This window comes from Homo sapiens, chromosome 6, assembly GCF_000001405.40.
Source record: "Homo sapiens chromosome 6, GRCh38.p14 Primary Assembly".
Classification (NCBI taxonomy): Eukaryota; Metazoa; Chordata; class Mammalia; order Primates; family Hominidae; genus Homo; species Homo sapiens.
The window spans coordinates 66040056-66066034 of NC_000006.12; the positions used below are offsets into that span (position 1 = coordinate 66040056).

The window sequence follows — 25979 nt, forward strand, 5'->3', positions numbered from 1 at the left end:
TTTGTCAAGAATTTTTACATTTATAGTCATGTAGAATATTGATCTATAGTGTCTTGTACTTTCTTTGACTGGTTTTGCTTTCAGGTAATATACTATCTTAATAAAATGGAAGAGTTATCTCCTCTTCTATTTTCAGAAAACTATTATGTAGAATTGTGTTATCACTTCTATTTTCTAAAAAAGATTGTGTCAAACTCTTCATGAAATGATTGGTAGAATTCTCCAGTAAAGTTGTCTAAGTATAAAAATTTATGGCCAGGCGCAGTGGCTCACACCTGTAATCCCAGCACTTTGAGAGGCCGAGGCAGGCGGATCACGAGGTCAGGAGATCAAAACCATCCTGGCTAACACGGTGAAACCCCGTCTCTACTAAAAATACAAAAAAATTAGCTGAGCATGGCAGCGGGTACCTGTAGTCCCAGCTACTCTGGAGGCTGAGGCAGGAGAATGGCGTGAACCTGGGAGGTGGAGCTTGCAGTGAGCCAAGATGTGCCACTGCACTCCAGCCTGGGCGACAGAGTGAGACTCCGTCTCAAAAAAAAAAAAAATTATGTTTTGGGGGGTTTTTCAATTACAAATTTATTTTATAGAGCTTTCTACATATATGAAGATGCCTGTGTAACTGAGTCTTCATATTTATTACATGCTCATTGTTTCCCATTAATAATTGTATAGTGAAAAAAATAAGCGTCTTAGTTTTAAGATTACTTCAATAATTAATACGCTTGGATATTTCATATGTCAGTTGATTGCTTTTATTACTTTCTACTAATTTTCTATTAATTTTCTTTATCCGTTTTACTAATGTAATAGTAAATATTTACCTAATGGATTTATATATACCCCAAATTATAATTTTTTGTCTATATAAATATTTATATATTTTTATGTGCCTTTTAATTAATATTAATTATTTCTTACATAAATAAATATATTTACTGTTTGGTTAAATTTATATATTTATATATTTCTTTAAAAATTAATTTTATATTTTAAAAGAAGGTAAATTACTCATATGGGAAAGAGTATGGATGAACCTAAAAAATATATGATGACTGAAAGAAGCCAGATACACAAAAGTACATGTCTGAGTCCATTCATATGAGATTTTATATAAGAAAAATTAAACTGCAGTGACAGAGAGCAGTAGTTCCCTGAATCTGAGGAGAAACCATAAGAAATCACTGTGAAGGGTAATAAAAGAAAGCAGTGGGGTGAAAAAAATGTTCTGTACATTTATTATAGTAGTGATTACACAGATTTATAGATTTGACAAAACAGATCTAACTGTGAGCATTTTGTTGTACATAAATTATGCCCCAATAAGCTTGATTTTTAAAAGGTGAAGAAAATTTATTATAAAGAAGCTAGGGGCTCTATAAATATAGCATACATTCTAACACTTTTTAATCTACTGACGTTTTATTTAAGGTTTAGAATTGAGATAAAATTTCTCTTTTTCTTCAAATAGCTGAATTTCTGATTAATTCTTATTGAATTATCAATCTCATAGCTATTAGGGTTTAATATGTGGCTTATCATTATATTGATCTATGGCAACTTAATTTATAAATTATTTATGGATTCTTTAACATTAAATAAAATCTTTATAAAGTTTTTCTGAGGAGGGGCCGTAGGAGTGGGTATGTCTTTCTTCAAAATTATAGCAACTTTGTAACATATAAAATATTAACATCTACTGATGTATAGGTGTGTCTTCGTCCATTTTGTGTTGATATAACAGGATAACAAAGACTTAGTGATTTATAAACAATAGACATTTACTTGGCTCATGGTTCAAGGAGTTGGGAGTTCCAAGAGCAGGGAACCAGCATCTGGAGAGGATCTTCTTGCTGTTTCATCTCATAGCTGAAGGCAGAAGATAAAGATAAGGCAAGGTAGCCAAGGAGCAAGAGAAGGCTGAACATACCTTTACAAAAACTCACTCTCACGGTAACAAACCCACTCCCACAATAATAACATTAATATATTCATATGGGCAAAACTATTTTGGCCTAATCACCTGTTAGTGGTCCCACCACTTATACTGTCACAATGGTAATTAAATTTCAACACACATTTTTGAGGGGACATTCAAACCATAGCAAAGTGATATGGTGATAACTGATAGATATTATGTGTTTTTTAATGACAATAACATGTAATGCCTTACTGACACTACTAACCTGTGGAATTTGTGTTATTTTAACCACTGTGTCTATACATACAGTTGGTACAAATTTTAATAAAAACTCACCACTATTATTTGAATGCACTCTCCAAAACTCATGTGACATATCATTGCCATTGTAACGAGTATTAAGATATGGGGACTTCAAGAGGTGATTAGGTCATGAAAGCACTATCCTTATGAATAGATTAATGAAATTATTTTTGCTGTAGTTTAGTTATAAAAGAGGGAAGTTTGGTGCCCTTTTCTTTCTGTATGAAGAGGTCATTCTCACCTTGCCAGATGCGGTGCTATACCCTAGGACTTCCCAGTCTTTATGAATATGAGCCAAATAAACTTCTGTTCTTTATAAATTACCCAATCTGATATTCTGTTACATCAACAAAAACTAAGAAACTCACATATTATTGGAAAATGTATCCTTCAACAAAATATTTAATAAAAAGAATTAAACAAAAAATATATGTTTTAATCAGAGAGATTCCTGAATTAGTATGGACATTAAGAATAAATAACATTTCTATTCTGCATATTAATCAATAAAAGACATCCCTTGCAAGTACCAACAATGCTGAGGTTGATTTAGTAGACATTTCCCCATATATATCACTCTACTTTAGGGAGTCTCTTTTTATAAGCAGAACATCACTGTTTAAGAAATCTCTCAGCAAAGATCATTACATTAAAATAAAATTATGTTTCTTAACAAATGAAGACTAATTTGAGAGTGATAAGTTAGTCCTTTCATTGAATATTTCTCAATCTTTCTAATAAGCAAATGAATGTGAATATACATTTATCTTTGCTTTTATTAGTTTTTTGCAAATGATAAAATATATTTTTAAAGTGATCATATAAGATGCTATTTATACACATAAGATTTATAGAAATGTTCCTAAATTATATATAAAACTTTGAGAGTTTTCATGAATTTTTTAAATTAAAAAAATAAAGTAATATTTACATGCCATAAGGTGCCAGCAAGAAAATTATGGTAGCTAATCTTTGTAATTTTTTACAGTGGTGGGTGATATGATTTGGATTTGTATCCTTTCCCAAATCTCATGTTGAATTGTAATTCCCAGTGTTGGAGGAGGGGCTTGGTGGGAGGTGATTGGATCATAGGGGTGGATTTCCTCCTTGCTATTCTCATGATAGTGAGTGAGTTCTTATGATAGCTATTTGTTTGAAAGTGTGTAGCACCTCCACTTTCACTCTCTTCCTCTCACTCTGGCCATGACATGCCTCCTTCCTCTCTACCTTCTACCATGATTGTAAGTTTCTTGAGTTCTCCCCAGCTGTACCTCCTGTACAGCCTGTGGAATAATGAGGCAATTAAACCTTTTCTCTTTATAAATTACCCAGTCTCAAGTAGTTTTTTTTAACAATGTGAGAATGGAGTAATACCTGGGGAAAGGTTTTCTTCCCCCTCTTTTCTTTCTTCTTCACTCACCATTCTAATGATTCATAAATATGATGAAGTGTAAGTGATACATAAGTTTCTCCTCCTAAAATAGATTAGGAGAGAATCTGACTAATAGTTTCACTGTCCTAAGCTGCATGTGAATGTTCTTAATGAAGAGAGGCATTTAGAGATTAATTTGGTAACAGATTTAATTTCTCCAAGTTTAAGAGATTCTTATGTAAATATCCTAAATTTGGAAAACTGATAATACACATATAATCTAAGATTAACTATAACATACGCAGAAAGATATTGCTTTCTTTGTTTCTTTTTTTTTTTTTTTTTTTTTGACAGAGTCTCATGCTTTCACCCAGGCTGGAGTGCAGTGGTACGATCTAGGCTCACTGCAACCTCTGCCTCCTGGGTTCAAGCAATTTTCCTGCCTCAACCACCCGAGTAGCTGGCGTTAGAGGCGCCCGCCACCACGCCCAGCTAAATTTTGTATTTTTAGTAGAGATGGGGTTCATCGTGTTAGCCAGGCTAGTCTTGAACTCCTGACCTCAAGTGATCTGCCTGCCCCATCCTCCCAAAGTGCTGGGATTACCGGTGTGAGCCACTGCAGCCAGTCATTGTTTTCTTTTAAAATAGCACTTTTAGGGACATTAACCATTTTCTTATAATCATGTTGTATAATATTTTTAATATTTGTCCCATTGAGTAAGGCAACAAGTTATAGTGAACGGGTATTGGAATTGAAGGTGGAGGATTTTGGCTTTAATTCTTTTTCTGCCATTTACATAAATGTGTTTTGTGGAAATCTGTAAAGGTTATCATTAGCATTCATACAATGGCAATGAAGCAGTAGGGCATTAAACATTTTACATGTTTTAAATTTTTTTCAAAGTCTGGCTTTGGGGGTCAAGGTACAGTTCTAGATCGGGATGTTGCTATTCTCTGAATATTGGTGTCTCCCAAAATTCATATGTTGGAACTTAATACCCAATGTGGTAATAGTAAGAGGTGGGGCATTAGGGAAAGCTATTGAGTCATGAAGGCTCTGCCCTTATGAATGAAATCTGTGTTCATATGAAAGAATTTGAAGAGAACTGCCTTGCCCTCTTTTGCCATATGAGGACACAGCAAGAAGGCATCATTTATCTATGGGCAAAAGCTCCTCACCAGAAACCAAATCTACTATTGCTTTGATTTTGGGCTCCCCAGTTTCCAGGACTGTTAGCAATTTATTTTTATTACCTATACATTACCCAGTCAAAAGTATTTTGTTATTGCCACCCGAAAAATACTAAGATGGCAATTTGTACTGATAAATGGGTTGCTGCTATAACAAATACCCCAAAATTAGGAGGCAGCTTTGAAACTGGGAATGGGCAGAGGGTGGAAGAGTTTGAAGGCAAACGCTAGAAAAAGCCTATATTGCCCTTAACCACGAAGGCTGATTTTGATGAGGGCTTGGAAGAAGAGTGCTGTAGAGAGAGGCTCAGTCTTCTTATAGGTTACCTAAGTGGTTACGATTAGAATGTTGGTAGAATTGTAAATATCTGTAAAGCCCATTCTGATGAGATCTCAGATGGAAGTGTGAAACATGCTATTGAAACCCAAAGGAAAGGCCACCATTGTTATAAATTGGTAAACAACTTTCCTAAATAGTGTTGCTATCTTAGTTCTTTGTGAACGTTATGACTTATGAGCAGTGAAATGGATATTTGGTGGAGGAAATCTCTAAGTGTCGAGTGTGTGGGATGGTTTTTCTTGACTGCTTATAGTAAAATGTGAGACGAGAGAAACAAATCAAAGATAGAATTAATAACAGAATAGAAGGAGAACTTCAATTTGGAAATGTTTTAGCCTAGCCATGTTCTAAAATAAAAAAGCATGGTCAGGAGAGAACACCAAGAGTGTGGCCAAGGGACCAGCTGATGGTGATATTAGTATGGGTGGGCAGAATCCTGGTGCTATTCATCAAGACAATAGAAGAAATCTTAAAGGTGTTTCAGAGATCTTTGGGACTTTCCTAGCCATCACAGTTCCAGACTGCTGGAGACTTGGGAACTGAACAATCTCAAGGCTCTGCTGCCTCCGTTCTGGTGCAGTGCTACTTGGCTGCCGCAGCTGAGGTTCAAGTGAGCCCAAGTGTAGTTTGTGCTGCCTCTCTGAAAGGTTCAAGTTATAAAGCTTGGCTGCATCTTTGTGGTGCAATCTCTATCACGATGCAGTATACACAAGTTGTAAGGATCTGGCTCCCTCCACCTAGATGACAAAGGATGTACCAGAGAGTCTTGGGGCTCAGGCAGAGAACTGCTGAAATGGTGTACATACCACAATATTCCTCTACTACAGCAATGTTCAGTAGTGCCCTGGAGTTAGGACTACCACAGGCAGTACCCACCAGGGTGATGCTTAATGGAGCTATGAGAGTAGGGCCAACCCTATGAACTCAGACTGGTAGAGCCACCAACATACAGTCCAGCTCAGCATGAGCCTCTACCCAACCAGTGAGAACTGAGGTATGTACTCTCAACAGAGCCATGTGAGTGAGATCCTCTAAAGCCTTGGAGACTGAGCTTCTGATCCAGCGTGCCGGAAGGTATATCTTTCAGTCAAAAAAGATTACTCTGGAGTATTAAAATTTAATGTTTCCTCTGTTGGGTTTTGGATTTGATTGGGACCTATTACCTTTTTCTTCTTTCCTATTTTCCTCTTTTGTAATGGGACTATCTATTCTATTCCTGTTCCACCATTGTATTTTGAAAGTACACAACATTTTCTGTTTTGCATATTAATACCTGAAGAGTGATTTGCCTAAGGATAATCTGTACCCTGAGTCTCACCCATATCTGATTTAGGTATTAAGATGTGACTCTGGGCCAGGCGTGGTGGCTCACGCCTGTAATCCCAACACTTTCGGAGGCCAAGGCGAGTGGATCATCTGAGGTCAGGAGTTAGAGACCAGCCTGCCAACATGGTGAAACCTCGTCTCTAGTAAAAACACAAAAATTAGCTGGGCGTGGTGGCCCGTGCCTGTAGTCCCAGCTACTCGGGAGGCTGAGGCAGGAGAATCGCTTGAACCCGGGAGGTGGAGGTTGATGTGAGCTGAGATCGTGCCATTGCACTCTAGACTGGGCAATAGCATGAGACTCTGTCTCAAAAAAAAAAAAAAGAAAATTTGACTCTGGACTTTAGACATGTAAAGTGGTGCTGTAACAAAACTTTGGGAGCTATTGTAATAAAATGAATGCATTTTGCATATGATAATGATATAAATTTGGGGGAGCCAGGGGCAGAATGCTATGGTTAGAATGTTGGCATAACCCCCAAATTCATAGGTTGGATCATAATACCCAATGTAGTAGTATTAAAAGGTAAGGCCTTTGGGGAAATGATTAAGCCATGAGGACTCTGCCTTCATGTTTGGGATTAATGCCTTTATAAAAGAGGTTGAAAGGAGATGCCTTGCTCTCACTCTTCTACTATGTGAAGATACAGTAAGAAGGTGCCATCTATCTATGAGAAATGGCTCTTCACCAGAGACATCTAGTCTGCTGGTGCATTGATCTCAGACAACTGTGGGCAATAAATTTCTGTTGTTTGTAATTTACCCAGTCTTAGATATGTTGTTATAGCAGCCTGAACAAAGTAAGAGAGATTCTAAACCTTAAAAATTCAGGTTTCACTTGAAAATGTGAAAATAACAAACTCACTTCCCTTCTAACCACAATGCATGTCATCTAGTACATGCTCAATACATTTTATGCCAAATTTTTAATTTCTTCTGTTTTCTTTCTTCTAGAATTTGGAGGAATTAATTAATGTGAACTGTATTGTTGCTTATTTGAAAACACATTATACCTAAAAAGGCATATCTTTGCATCTGAAGGAGAAAGGTTATTTTTTATTATTTTTTTTTTGGTTCTTTTTACAATTGAATTTGGTGATAATCCTCCCCACCATACTTTCATACCACCTGATTGTAAGATAAAAATGTAATACATATTTGTATAAGATATGGTTTATTTTATGCAAAGTTCATAATAAATGTTGGTTTAATATGCAATTTGAAGATATTGGGCCTTGTAAATGTTAAAAGAAATTATACTTGCATAGAATTATCTAAAATTTAAAATACTGTCTGTCAACATTTAATAACATAGAAAAATTCACTAATGCCTAAATAAAGTTTTTAAAAATATGCAATTTGTGTCTTACAAGACAGCAAGACAAAAACGACTGTTTATATAATACTCCATTATACTGTTAAATTAAATTTGGTCTAAAGCTGCCTTTGTATGTAGCAAACTGTAATGTAACTTAGTATGTAAACAAACTGCAACATAACTAAAATTGTATTTTTGTAATATGTAGCTGAGTTTCAGCCAATCACAGCAGCCAAACTTCAACCAATCACAGGCTGCACACGAATCACACTAGATTCATATAAGGTGATTATTAAGCTATAACCTATCAAGCTCTTTCTATATGTCTCTTCCTTTTTCTGTCTGTAAATACTGCCTGCCCACATTGCTGGATGGAAATCTCTGAACGTCTCCTTGTTCTGAGGGCTGCCTAATTCATGAATTTTTCTTTGCTCAAATATACTCTGCTAAATTTAACTCATCTAAAGTTTTTTTTTAAATAATACTTGAGTCTTTAGTAAAACATTATTTCTGTTTGAGTATTTCCCTGTTCTATTTCTTAAGATTTTGTATTATATAATTTTTCCTCTATGAAATATTCTGTAGTTTAATTTTTAAATTAATGGAACATATAGAAAACTCTGTTAGCAGAATCTGCATATGGACATTGTCAGAAATGATTACCACATATTTATATAAACTTGTTTGGGCTAAAACTAATTATTGAATTTTATGTTTAATGTTTTAATTTTTCATGTTGTTTTGGTATGTTGTTAAATAGTATCTTTTTCACTGTTAGAAAAGCATTAACTAGCACAGTATTTAAAATAATAGAAGTGTTCAATAAATACTTGTTAAATGAATAACCAAAAGATAAAATGATTAGATGGATGAATAAATATTCTTTAAAGCTGACAAAAAAATAATAGTTTTATTATCTGTCAACATAAGGTTTAAACCACTGGATAAAACTTTTTTTATTGTTTTTAGCCAGAGTAAAATATCTGCATGTTCAGATGCCCTCTCTCTCTCTGTGTGTCTCTCTCTTTCTCTCTCTCTGACTGTCCATACTACTAAGAAAGATAAATGAAAATAGTACTTTCTCTTTTTGCCTCTGTCCTATTTCTGACCACAAAAACTGTCACAGTGATCTATTAACATTGTGGATTTTTTCTTTAGTTCAAATGACAAGGCTGCTATTTTTGAAATAAGTTCTATGTTTTTGTTACAGGCACAATGAATGATTAAAGGTTTCAGCACTGAAAATTACTAAACCTTTGTCTAAAAATATAGGCATTCTTAAAGTTGACTTACTGTGATAAGAAGTAGAAATTTCACCTCATCTGTCTACTCAATGTACAAGATATAATATGATGGGTCATAATGAAAGACAGAGGTTATTTTTTTCTACTTTCAGTAGAAATTTCTTTTATGGAACAGATAAGTGCGCCATCCTAAGTCTAACTCTTGAGAAGGAAGAGGATAAATTTAGTGAAGGAGTACAGTGTTGTGGTCTTGTCTCATATCAAACTTCTAAATATGTCTATTTATGTCTATTTTCCTTTTGCTTTATTGTTCATAGCTGAGGTTAAAACAAAAATAACTATCTTACAACGTACTATGTTATTAATAAAACAAATTTGCTTTGTTTCGACCTTCTTTTGTTTTGACATAGAGAAGTCATCACATTTTTTAAACGATGTGGCAAACAATTTTAAAATTAACGGCACCTTGTCACATAATATAGTGATTAAAATAATTTTAGGTTAATTTATAAGTACAAAAACTATCATTTTAAAACAGCAAATATATTTAATGTTACTCTTAGTCAACCTCAAGGACGATATCAAATATTAATGTTGGTATTAGTTATGCAACAGGTAAAATCCTAGTTTTGTAATAAACAATTTCATAATACTATATGTCTCTATGTAAATTTAAGTAGATTCATAGCTTTATGCACAATGTCATTCTGAAAACATGACCTGTAGTTGAATATGAGAGATCTGAACAACAGGTTTACTTTTTAAGTAAGGGTTCTATTACAATCCCAAATATCTAAAATGTTATAAACCATATAAAGTCATAGAAGAATGTACAAAGTTCTTTAAACAAAAAGGAATAGAATTATTTTTCCAAATAAAATATTACCCAGATGCTCAATACATAAAGATAAAGTTGAGCTGCTAGGGAGTAGAATGTGGAAGAATTGGTGGGGGCTGAGGGTTAGCTTCATGTGCTTCTTCCCAACCTCTCCTCTCATCTTTATATCAAGGGACTTCTGAAAAACAACCTAAAAATCATTGGAATAACTTATTCAAAGTACTATACATAAATTGTGACTAAAAAAGAGGAACTCTAAAAATTTATCTATCAGGAATGTAATCATTTTATGTGGTAACTCATATGAGCAATCTTTTTTACTCAAGTATTCATTGTCAGCACCCCTGCTATGTAATTTGTAATTTAATTTTATGGGAAAATAAACAATCAAATCTAGGTTTATTTCTACTCCCTTTGAATCTGGACTGACCTATACATTATTGCTTGACCAATAGAAAAAGCTTACAATAAATGACCACTTAAAGAAAGAGGCCCAGTTTTCCCAGCTGAGCCAGGTCTTCAGCTCACCCACCCGCTAAATGCAGAAGCATGGCAGAGCCTAGGTAGGGTGATCAGGCTCTCACTTTGCACATGAATGACTGATTTCCTGAGATGTTGGCTGGGCAGGTGCGCAGAAACCTTTTAAGTACTTGACCTGTGTCTCTATCAGGATTAGTCAGAGATCCCGATCTGGTATTACTCAAAGGTACCAGAGTATTATTATTTCTGGAGTAGTCAAGGTCTCAAATTGTTGATAAAACCAAACTGGTATTCATAACTGGTCATATCTATGTGTCTGGACTGCTCAGTTTAATCAGATTGTCAGCATACCAGTAAAAGACATTTGTTTACCCAAAACAGAAACTTTGACTCATGCTGGCTTAAATAAGGACAGATTTTAATAAGGAAAATAATTTACTTATATAAGTATGTATCCAAAGTTAGGACAGACATCAGGATTCACAGATTCAGTCATTAATCAGTGTAACTCTAGAAGTTTCTGTCCTGCTTCTTTCTAAACTATCATGCAGAATATTTCTTTCTATGGCTGATTGTCTCATGGTCATAACATGGCTGCCAGAGCAATTGGCACTAAGACTTCTTCACAATCTGGATTGAATTACTCCTGGAAACAAACAGACAAAAAAATTAGAAACTTTTCAGAAAATATTTTGTCTCATTAAGTCGATTGCGCTATAAGTCCACTCCTAAACCTTTCACCAGCAAAATGTGGAATTGCTACTATAACAGTTCTTAATCAGGATCAAGCCCTGAAGCTCAAATTCAGCAGCTTCCCTTGAATTACACAGGTTGCCTAAACAGAAGGTGGAGGCTGAAGGACAACAAGGATAATGACTGTTGGGCAGTAAAATGATGTTCACAGTAGTCCATTTTGTTTAGGGTCTCAAAGGGTCTACCATAGTCAGTACTTCAAGCATGTCAGTCTATGTAAATACAGTGGTCAGTCTGTCCAGTTTATTATTAAGTCTAGATTGTTTAGTCTGTCTGGGCCTGTTTTCCACTGCTATATTCTTGAACATAGATAAAGCCTTATGAGTGGATTTTGAGAAGAATGTAAAGGTGAAAGAAATATCTTACAATCATTTTAAAATACAGGCTTCTTTACCTAGCATTCCCCTTCAATGTTGAGAACTCCTTTTATTGGTCAGCTCCTTTAACCTTACTTAGTCTAGTTCTGCACCAAGGTTCTGATGGGAATGGTGAGTTGTTCCAGCCATGGGGCATGAATTAAACCTGCTCTCCTATTCTCCTAGCATGGGTATTCTCATCCTATGCTTCAGGAAATCTGAGTATCAGTGCTTCCCCCACAAGCAGCCTCATCCATACTTATAATCTCAACAAAGACCTTCTGTTTTTGCCAAAGTATCCCAGATTCTATGGCCTGCATATATCTACTCTTCCCAACCACCCGAGGTTTGGATAGTGAAGCACATTATGAGGAATTATTGTAAGGCTTAGAATGAGATTGACTTCACGTAAGCCTCTGTCTGCCCGTTCTGCGCCCCTTGGAAAATCATTTAGCCTCTTTAAACCTCACTTTGCTTTTCTGTAAATATTGAATTAATAATAGCACCTAGTCATCATTTTTGTTTGAAGTTGAGTGAGTTCATGAGTCGATGTATATTAAGCCATATTAAAATAGTGCTTAGCAGAGATAAATGGTTGGGTACAGGCTATTAATATGCTGTACTTCACACACATCTCACACACACACATACACACACACACACACACAGTTACACATATGCAGAATATTTAGATATATTTTCCAAGGTTCAGATTTACATTTTTTCTGTGATATCGGTGTGTGACATGTTTATTGATTGGATTGATTGAGTGAAAACCCCACTCAGCTGAATCCTAGGAAACATCATAAAAACTACGACCAGCTGAGTCTCAGGGAAACATGCCTAAGCACTTTATATAGAGAGATAACACCACAATTTGTTCAGTCAACTAGATTCGAAAACTCAGAGTAATTGTTTACCATTCCCTCTTCTCCACAACCAATTAATTCGCAAATCCCACAGATTTTCATTCTGTAAACTCTTCCCCATCTGTCCCTGCTCTTTGATTTCCAATTCTGTCTTCCTGATGCTTATCTATATTAATTCCTTCCCAACCTAACGTATTGTGTCTCCACTTTTAAAAAAATTCCAGCTTATTCTACATATCATCATTAATGCCACTGCCTCTTGCTATTTGACAGAGTCCTTATGTAGTGAGGATAACATGTATTTTTAGACAACTAAGGATGGTTTGGCTGGCCGAATTTTTGGAGTTATTCTTAATGTTTCTACTTTGGGAAAATGGGTATAGATGTCTCTGCTTAGGTCCTAATTTGATTTTCTGGACAAGAATTTTTAATAAAGAGGAAAACAAAAAGCTGCATTCATTCATAGCTCTATGTCATGACACTCACAATGTAAGCTCCTCTGAATACAGTAAAAGCTAACATCTTATGATGGAGGTGGGAGGGGACATTACCTGTTAACTTAGAAGTAACTTGACACTGGGAAATTTATATGGCACAGAAGTATTATTTTGACTTGAATCTGAACTCATGTCTTTGAACAGGAATCACTTTTTAATCTACTACTAAAGAGATCAGATAAATACTCAGAACTACACAGGTATTGCACACAAGCTAGGAGAAAGTAAAGCAATCAAAGGCCAGGGAAGTGTATGTTATAACCAAGGAGTTGTCAGTGAGACACAAGAAAATTCACATTAATTGACTCCACTATTATTTATTTCTTGAAAAGTTATGACCACAATTTATATGATGAGCTCAAAGTTGCTTCCACAATTTGATATAAACCTTTTCCAATTTACTGTCCATTAGTCGTAGCATTGCATATAAACCAAGATGCCTATTAAAAAAATACCAATAGTTTTCGTTTACCAATTGATAATACATTATGCAGTTCAATTATTCTCAAACAATGTTGATTATAACTAATAGCAGCAACATTTTACTGGCTTATATCTACAAGAGATAGATATTAATATTGTATTCTATAAGTTAAATAATATTAGAACTATTATGTTAATTTTAAACCATAGACAACAATCCAAATTTTAAAAGGTTAAAATATAATTAAATAGAAGCTCTATTTTGCCTTCGCTGACATTAAAGAATGCCCCAAGACTCTAAGGGGCATTCTTTTAATGAAAATCAAATGCAAAAAGGCAAAGGTTTGCTGACAGTCCCCTTCCATTTATGGCTGAGTCATCCAGGAAGTCTCTGTCTCTCAATATTTTCAAAAAGAAAATTGTTCTTGATCAAGAAAAGACAATGATGCTGGCTGCCTCACATGCCAAATTTAAAAAGATGCAACAAACCCTCTGGCATTGGCAGCTCCACACCCCAGAGGTGGAAGTGATCATTGAAGGTGAGTCAAACTGTCACTACACCATCTTTGGATCCATGTGTTCATTTCAGGTTCAGGAAGACTGCATGTAAGCCAAGGTGTTGCAAAAAATCTACAAAGGATCTGGAGATTCACATTAAGCCCATTTTGTTTCTGCAAATAAAAGCATTGGTGACAGCTTCTCTACCAGTCTCTCCCCTATTCCTTCCAATGATTTTGTAAGGTTCTATCTCAATATGCAAAAATAAAGCTGGTAGTTTAGAAAGACTCACTTTGAAGCTTCAGTAAACTCCACATCTGTTCACTTGTCTCCCCATCTCCAGAAAATAACATGTCTTTCTTTTTCATTTTTCAGATATCTACAAAGCATTTCTATCATTAGATTCTAATCCAGAACCACATGGTAAATAAAATTCTGAAAAAAGTAAAAAATTACTTGTAATGACGTATGAGTGCTACTAAGTTAAAATAGATAATCCAACAGAAGCATCGTGTGAGAGAGAGTGGGTGTCTGCTTTTTTCAATGATTTGTTCACAGAAGATACCTAGTAGAAGTTGTTTTTTTTTTTTCCAGATTGACCTTGTATGGCTGTTTCTGTGGATGTTTGTTAAATAAGAATATTGAGAGCCAAGGAATTCTATCAAGCAAAGATGTTCTACTCAGGTTTATGAACAGTTTTCCCCCTGTATGGCTGTACTGTTTATTCCACTGAGCCTGGCTGCATCCTTCTGCTTTGATTTATAGGGAAGGCAGAAGTCAACACCTAAAAGATGTGACTTTTAAAACAGGTGAATTTATTCTTCCAAAAATATTTCTGAAAATAGATATTTCATTGCTAAATAAGGATAAATAGATAAATTGTTTACTTCTCACTGGTGCAATATTTTATGATTCCATTATTCAGAAAAGAATTAATTTGGAGTAGATTGCATGATTGTATTTTAAAATACAAAAATTAACTTTAATACTCATCTCAATAGGAGGGATACTAACTTTCAGTTCTAATTCACAGTTGCCTATAATTTCAACTCGACTTTCTATTACCAAAACACATACTGCTGTGAATCCTTATTATCAAGCGGCAATTGAACATCACAAAAAGGCCAGCAGATAAATAGGTAACATTAAAGAGGACATAATAAGCCATTCAAACATTGTAATATATATACACTTTATAAGAAAAATATTCAAATTAATTTTCTCTCCAGGAGCCTAACAGAATATACTATCTGAAACATAAAGTGATGGTGAAAAGAATTTGCATGCTTCTCTATGGTCAGCACTGTCGTATACAAGTTGTAAAGAGCCCTCAAGAATATATTAAAGGGAATGTAAATAAATCACAGTGTTTCTAGTGTGACGTAATTAATCTGTGCAACAGGTAGGTCATATATAAACTTTATGGCTTTCTTTTTATAAGAACCTATTTGTATGCACTGCCTATTAAGTTTGTCAAAGACAAAATTCTGTAGTAAAACAGTCTCAAATTATCTATGAAGTTCATGCAGACATTTTTAAATGAATTGTTTATAAACTAGTCTTACTATATAAAAGAAGTCTACTGCCTGAATTTTCTAGATTGGCTCCATGCAGATGTATCCATACACTTGCAACAAGATTTTACTTCCACCTAATACAGTATCTGGATTTTACATCAATGATTTAGAATTCGATTAAGATAAGTCTGCTTTCCTAAAGTAAAATACTATATTATTAAAAACCTCTTAATATATAGTTTATTAAAAACTAAACTCTCTATTTTGCCAATATACCAGTTCAGGTTTTATTTACTTACTAAAATAGTAAGATAATACTTCTAATAATAGCATAAAAACCTTTTTAAAAGTCAAACGAAGTAGTTAAATTAAGTAGTGACCAGGAAAGTTAATGCTCTCTGCCAATCATACTATATTTCCCTTGTCCATTATTCTCTAACCCCTCTAAAACATGACCACGTGCCTTCTCTTCTCTTCTCAAATGCTCAGTAATTTCATTTCAACAATCACCCCAAGTGCATTCTTTCTACTTTCCTGTGGACCTGAAGCAATCAGAAGAGGATTTACTCAAAATACCACCACCATATCCAATACCCACCAGTCTCCTTAATCATGTCTTCTGTCCTGTTTCTTTAACTAAACTGTGCTAAATCTCATCCTTGTTAACTCTTTTAAAAGCCACTATGCCAGCAATTTTACCATCTTATTTATTTGTCATCAAATTTTTCTTTTCTCTGGACCATTTTTATGAGCTTATAAGCATGCTGTATTACTCCCATCTTATTATACTCACTGACTCCAATTTGGATAGTGGTCACTTTTTCTCCTCCCCATCTTTCAGCAACACTTTTCAAGATATTAAAGGGAATATACTTTTGTCTCCTATTGCTCAATATCATTGTCTTTTCAATCGACTCCAATCAGACTTTTGCCTTCATATTATTCTGTAGATGGTTCTGGAAATACGACCTCCAAAGTCCAGTGGTCAAAGCTGAAGTATGTATGTAGTAATTTATGTCTTCAATTTTTTTCATAGTAAGCCCAACCAGAGGCTTATCAACTTCATTTAAATTTTGTGGAATCAGACTTCGAATTTGCTGGTTCTTTTAAATGTTTTCCTTTTTCTAAATTAATTGATTAGTATTTAAGTTTTATCATCTTTGATTTTGTTTGGTTTATGCTTAAATTGCTATAAGGTAGAATCTAAACTTGACTTTAGGTCTTTATTATTTTCTAATATGGGCATTTAATAGTATAAATTTCCCTCTATGCACTGCTTTTATTTATCTCTTTCATGTTAAGTTGATTTTAATTTCCATTTACCTTAAAACGAAAAATTTTAAATATTTAAAATTTTTTCTTGAGATAACTTATTCGACTTGTGATTTATTTAGAAATATATTTTTTAATTTCCAGATATTTGGAAAATTTTCAGCTAACTTTATGTTATTGAGATCCAGTTTAATTCTGTTGTAGCCTAAGAAGAAACTTTGTATTACTTATATTTCATAAAATACTTATGTATTATAGCACACAATGTGGTCTATTTTGGTTAATGTTATATATGTGCTTGAGGAGGATGTATATTGTGCTGTTGTTGGATAGAGTATTCCATATATTTATGGTATTATAGATCAAGTTGATTAATAGTTCTGTTGAGATTATCTCAATCTGACTGATTTTCTGCATGCTTGACATTAGTTACTAACAGAGGGGTGTTAAAGTCTCCACCTATCATAATAAATATATGTATTTTTCCTTTTAATTCTATCAGTTTTAAACTCATTAATTTTTGACACTCTGATGTTAGTACATACAAATTTAATGTTGCTGTGTCTTGGAGAATTGACCACTTAAATATTACACAATGCTCAACTTTATCAGTGACAGATTTCCCTGTAGAAAGCAGAAATTAATATAACTAGTCCAACTTTTTTGATTACTCAGCAAGGTGTATCTGAGTTTATAAAAGTATGACATTTATTTATAAATACCATATTTATAAAATTTATAAAATACGGTTCTATGTTTCAATTTGGTTTCTTATAGGCAATATATAGTTGTGTCTGTTTTTAAATCATCCCTTATAATACCTGTTAACTGGTGTATTTAGAACATTCATTGAAAAAGTGATTGTGACACAGATTTATAACTTTCATGTTTTAGTCATTTTCTATTTGTTGTGTTTCTTTTTCTCCTTTTGTTACCTAATTTTCTGCCTCTGGCTTTTCTGTTTTATCTCTCTTCTTAGCATATTGATTATATTCTTTTTAAATTTTTTAGTTTTTGCCCTAGATTTTTCAGTGTGCATACACAATTAATGTTAATTTACCTTCAAATAACACTGTGTCATTTCACATATAGTGCCGTGACCTCTTAACAGAGTATTCCAATTTCTCCCTCCAGTTACTTATGATATTGCTATCATTCATTTTATTTACAATATGTGCTATAATCATCCAGTACATTTGCTACAGGTTGACTATCCCTTATCTGAAATTCTTGAGACCAGAAATGTTTCAGATTTTGGAATATGTGCATATACATAATGAGATGTCTATGGGGTGGAACCCAAGTGTGAACATTAAAGTATGTTTCATTTACACCTTATACACAACCTGGAGATAATTTTATTCAATACTTTAGATAATTTTGTGCCTGAAACAATGTTTTGACTGCATTTTCACTGCAGCCTATCACGTGGGATCGAATGTGGAGTTTTCCACTTGTGACATCATGTCGGAACTCAAAAAATTTTAGATTTTAGAGCATTTTGGATTTCAGATTTTCAAATTAAGGATGGTCAATATGTACTATAATTATTTTAAACAAACAGTTGTCTCTTAGATCAATTAGGCATAAAAATAGTTTTCTAAACTAATAAAAAATAGTTTTATTTTACCTTCATGTATACCTTCTCTTCCCTTTTCTATATAGATCTGAATGTCTTACCTATATGATTTTCCTTCTCCCTGAAGAAGTTACTTTCGTATGTCTTTCAGAGCCTGGGATAGTCTTTATTTCTCCCTTTCTGTTGAAGTCCAGTTTCTCAGTTTATGGCTTCTGCTCCAGGTAAGCAGATCTTGTCTTTGACTCTGCAGATTCATCTGTCTTTCCACATTTTCGTATGGCAGTTTGCCCTCCAAACTTAGTTTTCTGATTAGTGAAAGAAAAATGAATTTCAGTTTTTTTAGGATTGTTTTTATCATAAGAAAGTGACTGTTTGCAAACTCTTTTCATGCTGGATTTGAAACCAGAAGTAAAATAATACTTTTTAATATCTGTCCTTACAGTCTATACATTTTTATTAATGACTTGTGCCTTTTAGCAATATAGCTTCCATCTAAAGAAAGTCAGTTGCGATCTTCTGATAACAATATTTTGACACTTAAATTCTTTTATGAAAAAAATGAAACAATTGTTGGTAGCTTCCTGTAATATTACTGTGTTATCATTTTTATGTTTATTTCTTACTGGCTTGTGAAGAATTCCCTGATATTTATTTTTATTCATGCTCTGATGTGTCTTAGCACATTTCTAATTTATTTAAATTGCAGGTTAGTGAAATAATAAGTTTTAAGGTGGTTTCATTCTGTAAAAATCTGTGGAACAATAGATTGAAAGCATAAAATAGAGTGAAGAGAATCATGCCATGTTCTACGGGGAGATATGTTTTACCCTTTAGCAGCATATTAGAAATGCACGCTTTAGAAATGGAGGCAAACTACACTGTACATCCTCCCACACGACACATTTCTCAGCCTTGAGCAGAATTTTCCTCTTGGCAGAGAACTTTTTTGTGATGGGAAAGCTCACGAGTTTAATCTATTTATTATTTTTCGTACTAACAGAAATCAGCACACATAATTTTAAACTACATTAAAAGAATAAGCCATTTGCTTTTCAGAATGGTTTTATTTGGCCAAGATATGTCATAGTTCTCCATAAAGTTTGTCAATATGTTTCATAGAATTTAAAAACAAACTAAATGTACACCTAGAATGGTTTTGTTTGGCCAAGATACGTCATATTTCTTCAAGAAGTTTGCCAATATATTTCATTAGAATTTAAAAACAAACTAAATGTACACCTAGACTTATCTAAAAAATTGGAATATACAATACTAAATATGAAGCCAGTTTCAAAGATTTGTTAAAAACGCAATAAAAAAGTATTTTATTTTGAACTATAACAGCCAAGTATTAATTATACTTTTGACTTTTGAAATATTCAGTGATATTTCTTAACAACATGAAGATATACTGTTTTAAAATCAAGCAAGACAATACATTTCAAGAGGTTATCAGAAAAACATTCTCACTGTATCAGGTGAGAATGTAGACACAAAAGTTTTACTATTTTTTGCTTTGTTCAGGCACCTGGCAAGTAGAAAAATTGCTACATACATATTAAATTATATTAAGTTAATGTGTTTATAATTAATATATTCAATATATATTTCTTTTGCTAACTTCTTCCATTGTCCTCTTCACTTTTTATACATGGAAACTTCTTTAAAGCATCACAAATGATCAGAAAATTACAATATAATTTGCATGTGCTATTCTTTTTGAGATTGCTACATCTCTTTTAGACAGAAAGTGTCCTTGAGTTATCAACATTGGAAACTAGCCTCAAGTTTTTCCTTAATATTATTAAAAATAATAAATTTATAGCGCTACCGTGAAAACACCTTAGCTCTTCAGAGTAGAAGAACAGACAAGCTGCACATCAAGGGATACCTGTCAGCTATTAAACTCCATGGAAGTCATCATGAGGCTCAAACATGGAATTTACAGTTATCTCCGAAAGAATCAGTTAGAAAATGGTGAACAGGGTTAAGCTTCTGGCAGTATGAGGAGGAGGCAGTAAGTTGAGAGAGTGTGGGCCACATAAAATATTTAGGCAGATGAGATGATAAGCAACTTTTGAAAAATAGTTAAATATTCTGAATGTCTCAGAAAACTATGAAAACTCATTGAACTTGATGGATACCTTCAAGGCAGTCATGAGAGATGGGTTTGCAGTAACGTATGTGAGCTGAGTATCTGCCCTGCTGTCTTCAAATGTTTACATTCTGTAACAAACAGAATTGTGACACAATCTCTAGGGATGGGTTGTATGTGTGGAAACAAGATTACCTGCCAGTTCCATGGAAGAAAATATCAGAATATGAGCTATTGAAAATAAAGTTTTTACATACCTGAATCTGAATATCGTGATTGATATTCATAACTGCTATATTTATTTATGAGGTAAATATACAATACGTTTGGTTCCTATTTGCATGTGTCCAAAACATGTTGAAACATTTTATCACACTACCAATAATTATGTCAGTTAAAATTTCTATTCTTTTTGGAGTTTTATAAAACCTTTTCATAAATATCTAAATTTTATAAAATCCTTCTAAGATGGTAACATTGCTATGTTTAATTCAATAGTTAATAAACTAAATGTACACTTCTTTTCATGTGAAACAAGAAAATGAGCTAGCGAACAGTAGTTTTCCCAAATCTATGTTTTATTCAATGTTACAATATAATTGCTAAAGTTAAAAACATGCTGCTTGAAGAAACAGTTTTATTATAAGGAACTGGAATGATCAATAAGAACCTAACAGATGTGATGAATCAATTTAGTTCTCGTAAAAAGTCTGAGTCTGAGGGTGTTCCTTAATTTGGAAGACTAATAGAGATTTAATATTCTAGCTTGAAAAATTCACAACAGAGAGGGAACTTCCAACATTGTTTCCTTACCTCTTTTTCTCTGTCTACTCCATATTTACCTTTTTGTTTTCAGAGAAAATGTTGCTATTTCTATTGCTCAGTATGTAGGATACTTAAAACCCTGGACACTCTTCTGTTGAAGTTAGGACACGTAAGTGGACTTCTTTACACCCCTCTGCTTTCTAGAGTAGAGTCTGTACGGCATCTCTCCTTGCAAGCACGTTACTTATTCAGCAACCCTGAATCTCAAAGGTTTAAGTAGATGCAGAGTTTTTTAGGGTGATCAGCTATCTATAATGGTGAGAGAAGAGAAAGCCTTACTTAAACTTATCATCTAAGATTTATTCTCTAAATATTTAGAACACTGTGCATTTGAGTAGATTGTGTGCATGTTCAGCTGTTAAAATTGTACTAGGCTTGTGATTCTGTTATCAGTCCTTTTGTGTACAGCCGCAAGAGTTTGAAACACTAAAGGAGGCTGAGGCAATGATAAATATGAGCTCCAAGCCTCCACCCTAAACTCTGAATATATTGTTTTAGTGTACTTTCCTTTATCACTTAAGGACTACTAAGTTCTGTTCCTGTAATGAAACTATATGTTGTATTGGAATTTGGCTGAAATAGTACAAATAAATAATGTGTTTTTCTCAGAGTTTACATGAATAAAATGGATTGCTTTAATGCTATTTAGATAGTATATTGCTAAATCTCTTCCAGAGGGTGAGATCAAATGGATCCCACTTTAGTAAGTTATAATCACTCTTGAATTCCTAGTAACTATAGAAAGAACTGGTCCCCAAAACACTTTTTAAAATGATATTATAACTAAGAGAAAATAATTGGACTAATTAAGACTTTTACATTAGAAATTAAAGACCTTAAAATACTTAGCAGCTATGAAGAATCTTGGAAAAGGATTGACCGATTTCTCCCATTTGGAATGAGTGTATTTATGCAGTAAAATTTCTTAGTGAATTTATATAAAAAGTATAAAATACTAGATAATTATTCATATTCAATGAACTATTAATTTTTATTTAAAGAGCCCACACATTGCTTTTCTAAAAATGAAAGATTATAGTAAATTGTCTTCATATTAATTAAATATGAATTTAATTCATATGAATTAAATATAATTATGTGGTATGAATAAGAAAAGCCATTAATGATACTGAAGATATTTTCTAGTATACATAAAGACAAAAAGTTACAAATAAAAAAGGCAGTTGTTCATGGAAAAAGAAAATCTGTAAATTAAAAGGCACAATTAAACTGACATGTCTTCTAGCATCTTTCTGACAGGTAATCTCACTGATCTGAATGCTGATATTTCCAAATATGGAAGCCCCAAGTTTAAGAACTATGAATAATAATAATAACAACTTTAGAATAAATGTTTATCTGACAATGACATTAGTATATTAATTTCTGGAAAGAGATAATACACACAAATATAAAATGTAAAATTTAATTAAATTTGGAATATTATGAAGCCATTTAAATGGGTTATGTTACAACCCCCTTGTAGGACAGCATATAGTTATTGAAGCAGTTTTTTTCAAAGTGTCTGTGATAGTATGCTGACATGGTCTGGCTCTGTGTCCCCACTCAAATCTCATCTTGAATTAGAATCTGAATGGTAATTCCCTCATGTTGGGGGAGGGACCTCATGGGAGGTGATTGGATCATGGGGGCACTTCCTTTATGCTGTTCTCAGGACAGTAAGTGAGTTCAGAAATGATGGTTTTGTGAGGGGCTTTTCCCCTCTTTGCTCTGCAATTCTCTCATTCTTCTCCTTTCTGCTGCCACGTAAGGAAGAATGTGTTTGCTTCCTCTTCCACCGTGATTGTAAGTTTTCTGAGGCCTCCCAAGCCATGCTGAGCCGTGAGTCAATTAAACCTCTTTCCCTTATAAATCACCCATTCTTAGGTCTTTCTTTATCAGCAGCGTGAGAATGAACTAATACAGTAAATTGGTACTAGTAGAGTGGGGTGCTGCTATAAGAATACTCAAAAATATGGAAGCAACCTTGGAACTAGGTAATAGGCAGACATTGGAACAGTTTGGAGGACTCAGAAGTCAAGAAAAACGTGAGAAAGTTTGGAACATCCCAGAGACTTGTTGAATGGCTCAGAATGAAATGATGGTAGTGATATGGACAATAAGGTCCAGGATGAAGTGGCTTCAAATGGAGATGAGTGACTTGTTGGGAACTGGAGTAAAGGTCACTCTTGGTATGAAAAGAGCCTGGTGGCATTTTACCCTAGCCCTTGAGATCTGTGGAACTTTGATCTTGAGAGAAATGATTTAGGGTATCTGGTGGAAGAAATTTCTAAGTGGCAAAGTGTTCAAGAGGAAGCAAAGCATAGAAGTGTGGAAAATTTGCAACCCGACAATGCAGTAGAAAAGAAAACCCCATTTTCTGAAGAGAAATTCAAGCCTGCTGCAGAAATTTGCATAAGTACAAAAGGAACAGAATATTAATCACCAAGATAATGGGGAAAATGTCTCCAGGGTATTTCAGAGATATTCACAGCAGCCCCTTTCATGCCAGGGCCAGGCCCAGGGCCCCCCTGCTGTGTGCAGCCTAGAGATTTGGTGCCCTGCTTCCTAGCCACTCCATCCATGGCTAAAAGGGGCCAAGGTACAGCTCAGGCCATTGCTTCAGAAGATGTGAGCCCCAAGCCTTGGCAGCTTCCATGTGCTGTAGGTCTTGTGGATGCACAGAACTCAAGAATTAATGTTTAGGAACCTCCACCTAGATTTCAGAGGTTGTATAGATGTCCAGGCAGAGGTTTGCTGCATGGGTGGGGTCCTCATGAAGAACTTCTGCTAGGGCAGTGCAGAAGGGAAATGTGGGGTCGGAGCCCACACAGAGTCCCCATTAGGGCACTGCTCAGTGGAGCTGTGGAAAGAGGGCCACCATTCTGCAGACTCCAGAATGGTAGATCCACCAACAGCTTGCACCGTGTGCTTGGAAAAGCTGCAGACACTCAACACCAGCCTGTGAAAACTGCTGGGAGGGGTCTTTATCCTGCAAAGTCACAAGGGGGGAGCTGCCCAAGGCTGTGGGAGCCCACTTTTTGCATCAGCATGACCTGCATGTGAGACATGGAGTCAAAGGAGATGTTTTGGAACTTTAAGATTTAATTACTTTCTTGTTGGATTTTGGACTTGCATGGGGCCTGTAACCCCCTTTGTCTTGAACAATTTCTCCCATTTGGAATGAGTGTATTTAATGAGTATATTTAATTGAGGTACCAATTTCTGTACCTCAATTGCATCTAGGAAGTAAATAACTTGCTTTTGATTTTACAGGCTCACAGGTGGAAGGGGCTTGTCTTGTCTCAAATGAGACTTTGAACTTGGACTTTTGCTGGAATTAGTTAAGACTTTGAGGGACTGTTGAAAAGGCATGAGTGTGTTTTGAAATGTGAAAGGGATATGAGATTTGGGAGGGGCCAGGGGTGGAATGTATGGTCTGGCTCTGTGTAGCCACTCAAATCTCATTTTGAATTATAATCCAAGTTGTAATCCCCACATGTTGGGAGAGGGACCCCATGGGAAGTGATTGAAAAATGGGGGCAATTCCCTCATGCTGTCCTTGTGATAGTGAGTGAGTTCTAATGAGATGTGATAGTTTTGTGAGGGGATTTTCCCACCTTAGCATGGAAGTTCTCTCATTCTTCCACTTCCTGCTGTCATGTAAAGAAGGACATGTTTGCTTCCACTTCTGCCATGATTGTAAGTTTCCTGAGGCCTCCCCAGCCATGCTGAACTGTGAGTCAACTAAACCTCTTTCTTTATAAATTACCCAGTCTCAGATATGTCTTTATTAGCAGCATGAGAATGGACTAACACACTTGCATAATGGGTAATAATTAAAAACTTCTTTCTTCCCTTTTTAAATACATGACTTTTATTCTGTCTCAACCAATTTGTCTCTTTACCTTGTAAGAGATTAGGATTAGGCATGAAAAAATGTGAAGATAAAGTATAATATTTAGCTGGTGACATTCAAAATTTTGGTGTAAAAATCACAAGGCTATTTTCTTGTGACATAGTCTAAGTCTGCAGGCATATCACTCTAAATACACCTGATCTCATTTGATCTCAGAAGCTAAGCAGGGTCAGGTCTTGTTAGTACTTGGGTGGGAGAAACACTCTCTAAACTATACTTCCTACTTTAGTTTTGTGGGCTGGGCAACAGAATTGTATGTAATAAAACTATTCAGATAGGGAGAAGTAGATGGAAATTCCCTTTCCCTCCTGAAATTTATAGTGAATAAAGGAGAAACATATAGGTGAATCAGAATCAAATGTTTACATGCATACTCATTTCTTTTCTGTGGATTTTAGTTTGAGGTGCAGGTGGTAGAAAGATGAAGGTATTACAGAATGCATACCCCTCTGATTAGGAGTTCTACATATACACTCTTCTGTGTCAAAATGGGGAAGTCAAAGCCTAATCAAGAATAGAAACTTGCTGGTTAGAGAGAGAGAAAGACAGACAGACTAGCAAGTATTCAGAAGCCTCTCCTTCTTTCAGGGCTGCATGGCCACACTAAGTTGAGAGCCAGCAAATTTGTTATGGAGCCTACCATTATAAGACTTATTAGCTACAAAGTTGACGTTAGTGGTGGACCACTGGGCCAGGAAGCTGAAGGGAGTACATGGCAGGACCCAAGACCTACAGCCAGTAAACTCTGAGGGGGAAAATATTTGCAATTAAAAGCTGATCATGGCATCCTAGAATTTGTCCTGAGCCAAATAAAGAACGTATTCACCAGTTGCAGATGTCGGCATCAGAGGCCAGCAAGACACTATGTGTCTGGGCTGTGACTTTAATGCTCCAAAATATTTATTTGATTTGACTTTTTATATAACTACCCCTTGTGCTTACTTAATCACACTCTTCAATGCATGTCCTTTTTACTATTAACCCCCCCAGCATTTTTTCCCAACATTTCCCACCTCTTGTCTCCAGTTCCTGGTAACCACAATTCT

The 25979-nt window shown here is 34.7% G+C and overlaps 2 long non-coding RNA genes across 3 annotated transcripts, besides 2 other annotated features; one reads left to right on the forward strand and one right to left on the reverse strand.

Annotated features, from left to right (window-relative positions):
* Positions 445-614: an enhancer, noted in NCBI's record as "experimental_93892 CRE fragment used in MPRA reporter constructs". NCBI's record gives its function as "activates a minimal promoter by MPRAs in K562 erythroleukemia cells, with activity observed for the introgressed 6:66750478 variant allele {active_cell/tissue: K562}" and the evidence as "EXISTENCE:reporter gene assay evidence [ECO:0000049][PMID:34662402]".
* On the reverse strand, positions 10865-20300 carry LOC105377840 (uncharacterized). Of its 2 annotated transcripts, none has more exons than XR_942654.2 (4): positions 20239-20300; positions 18196-18399; positions 14019-14105; positions 10865-10976 (listed from the first exon to the last, which is right to left on the reverse strand). It is a non-coding gene; the product is annotated as an uncharacterized LOC105377840 (long non-coding RNA). The 2 variants fall into 2 exon arrangements; XR_942656.2 differs by lacking the exon at positions 20239-20300 and adding an exon at positions 19986-20227.
* LOC105377839 (uncharacterized) lies at positions 14357-15122 on the forward strand. The gene is made up of 3 exons (XR_942653.1): positions 14357-14535; positions 14760-14865; positions 14956-15122. It is a non-coding gene; the product is annotated as an uncharacterized LOC105377839 (long non-coding RNA).
* Positions 19822-19991: an enhancer, noted in NCBI's record as "experimental_93910 CRE fragment used in MPRA reporter constructs". NCBI's record gives its function as "activates a minimal promoter by MPRAs in K562 erythroleukemia cells, with activity observed for both the introgressed and non-introgressed 6:66769855 variant alleles {active_cell/tissue: K562}" and the evidence as "EXISTENCE:reporter gene assay evidence [ECO:0000049][PMID:34662402]".
* Positions 20301-25979: the final 5679 nt, after the last annotated feature.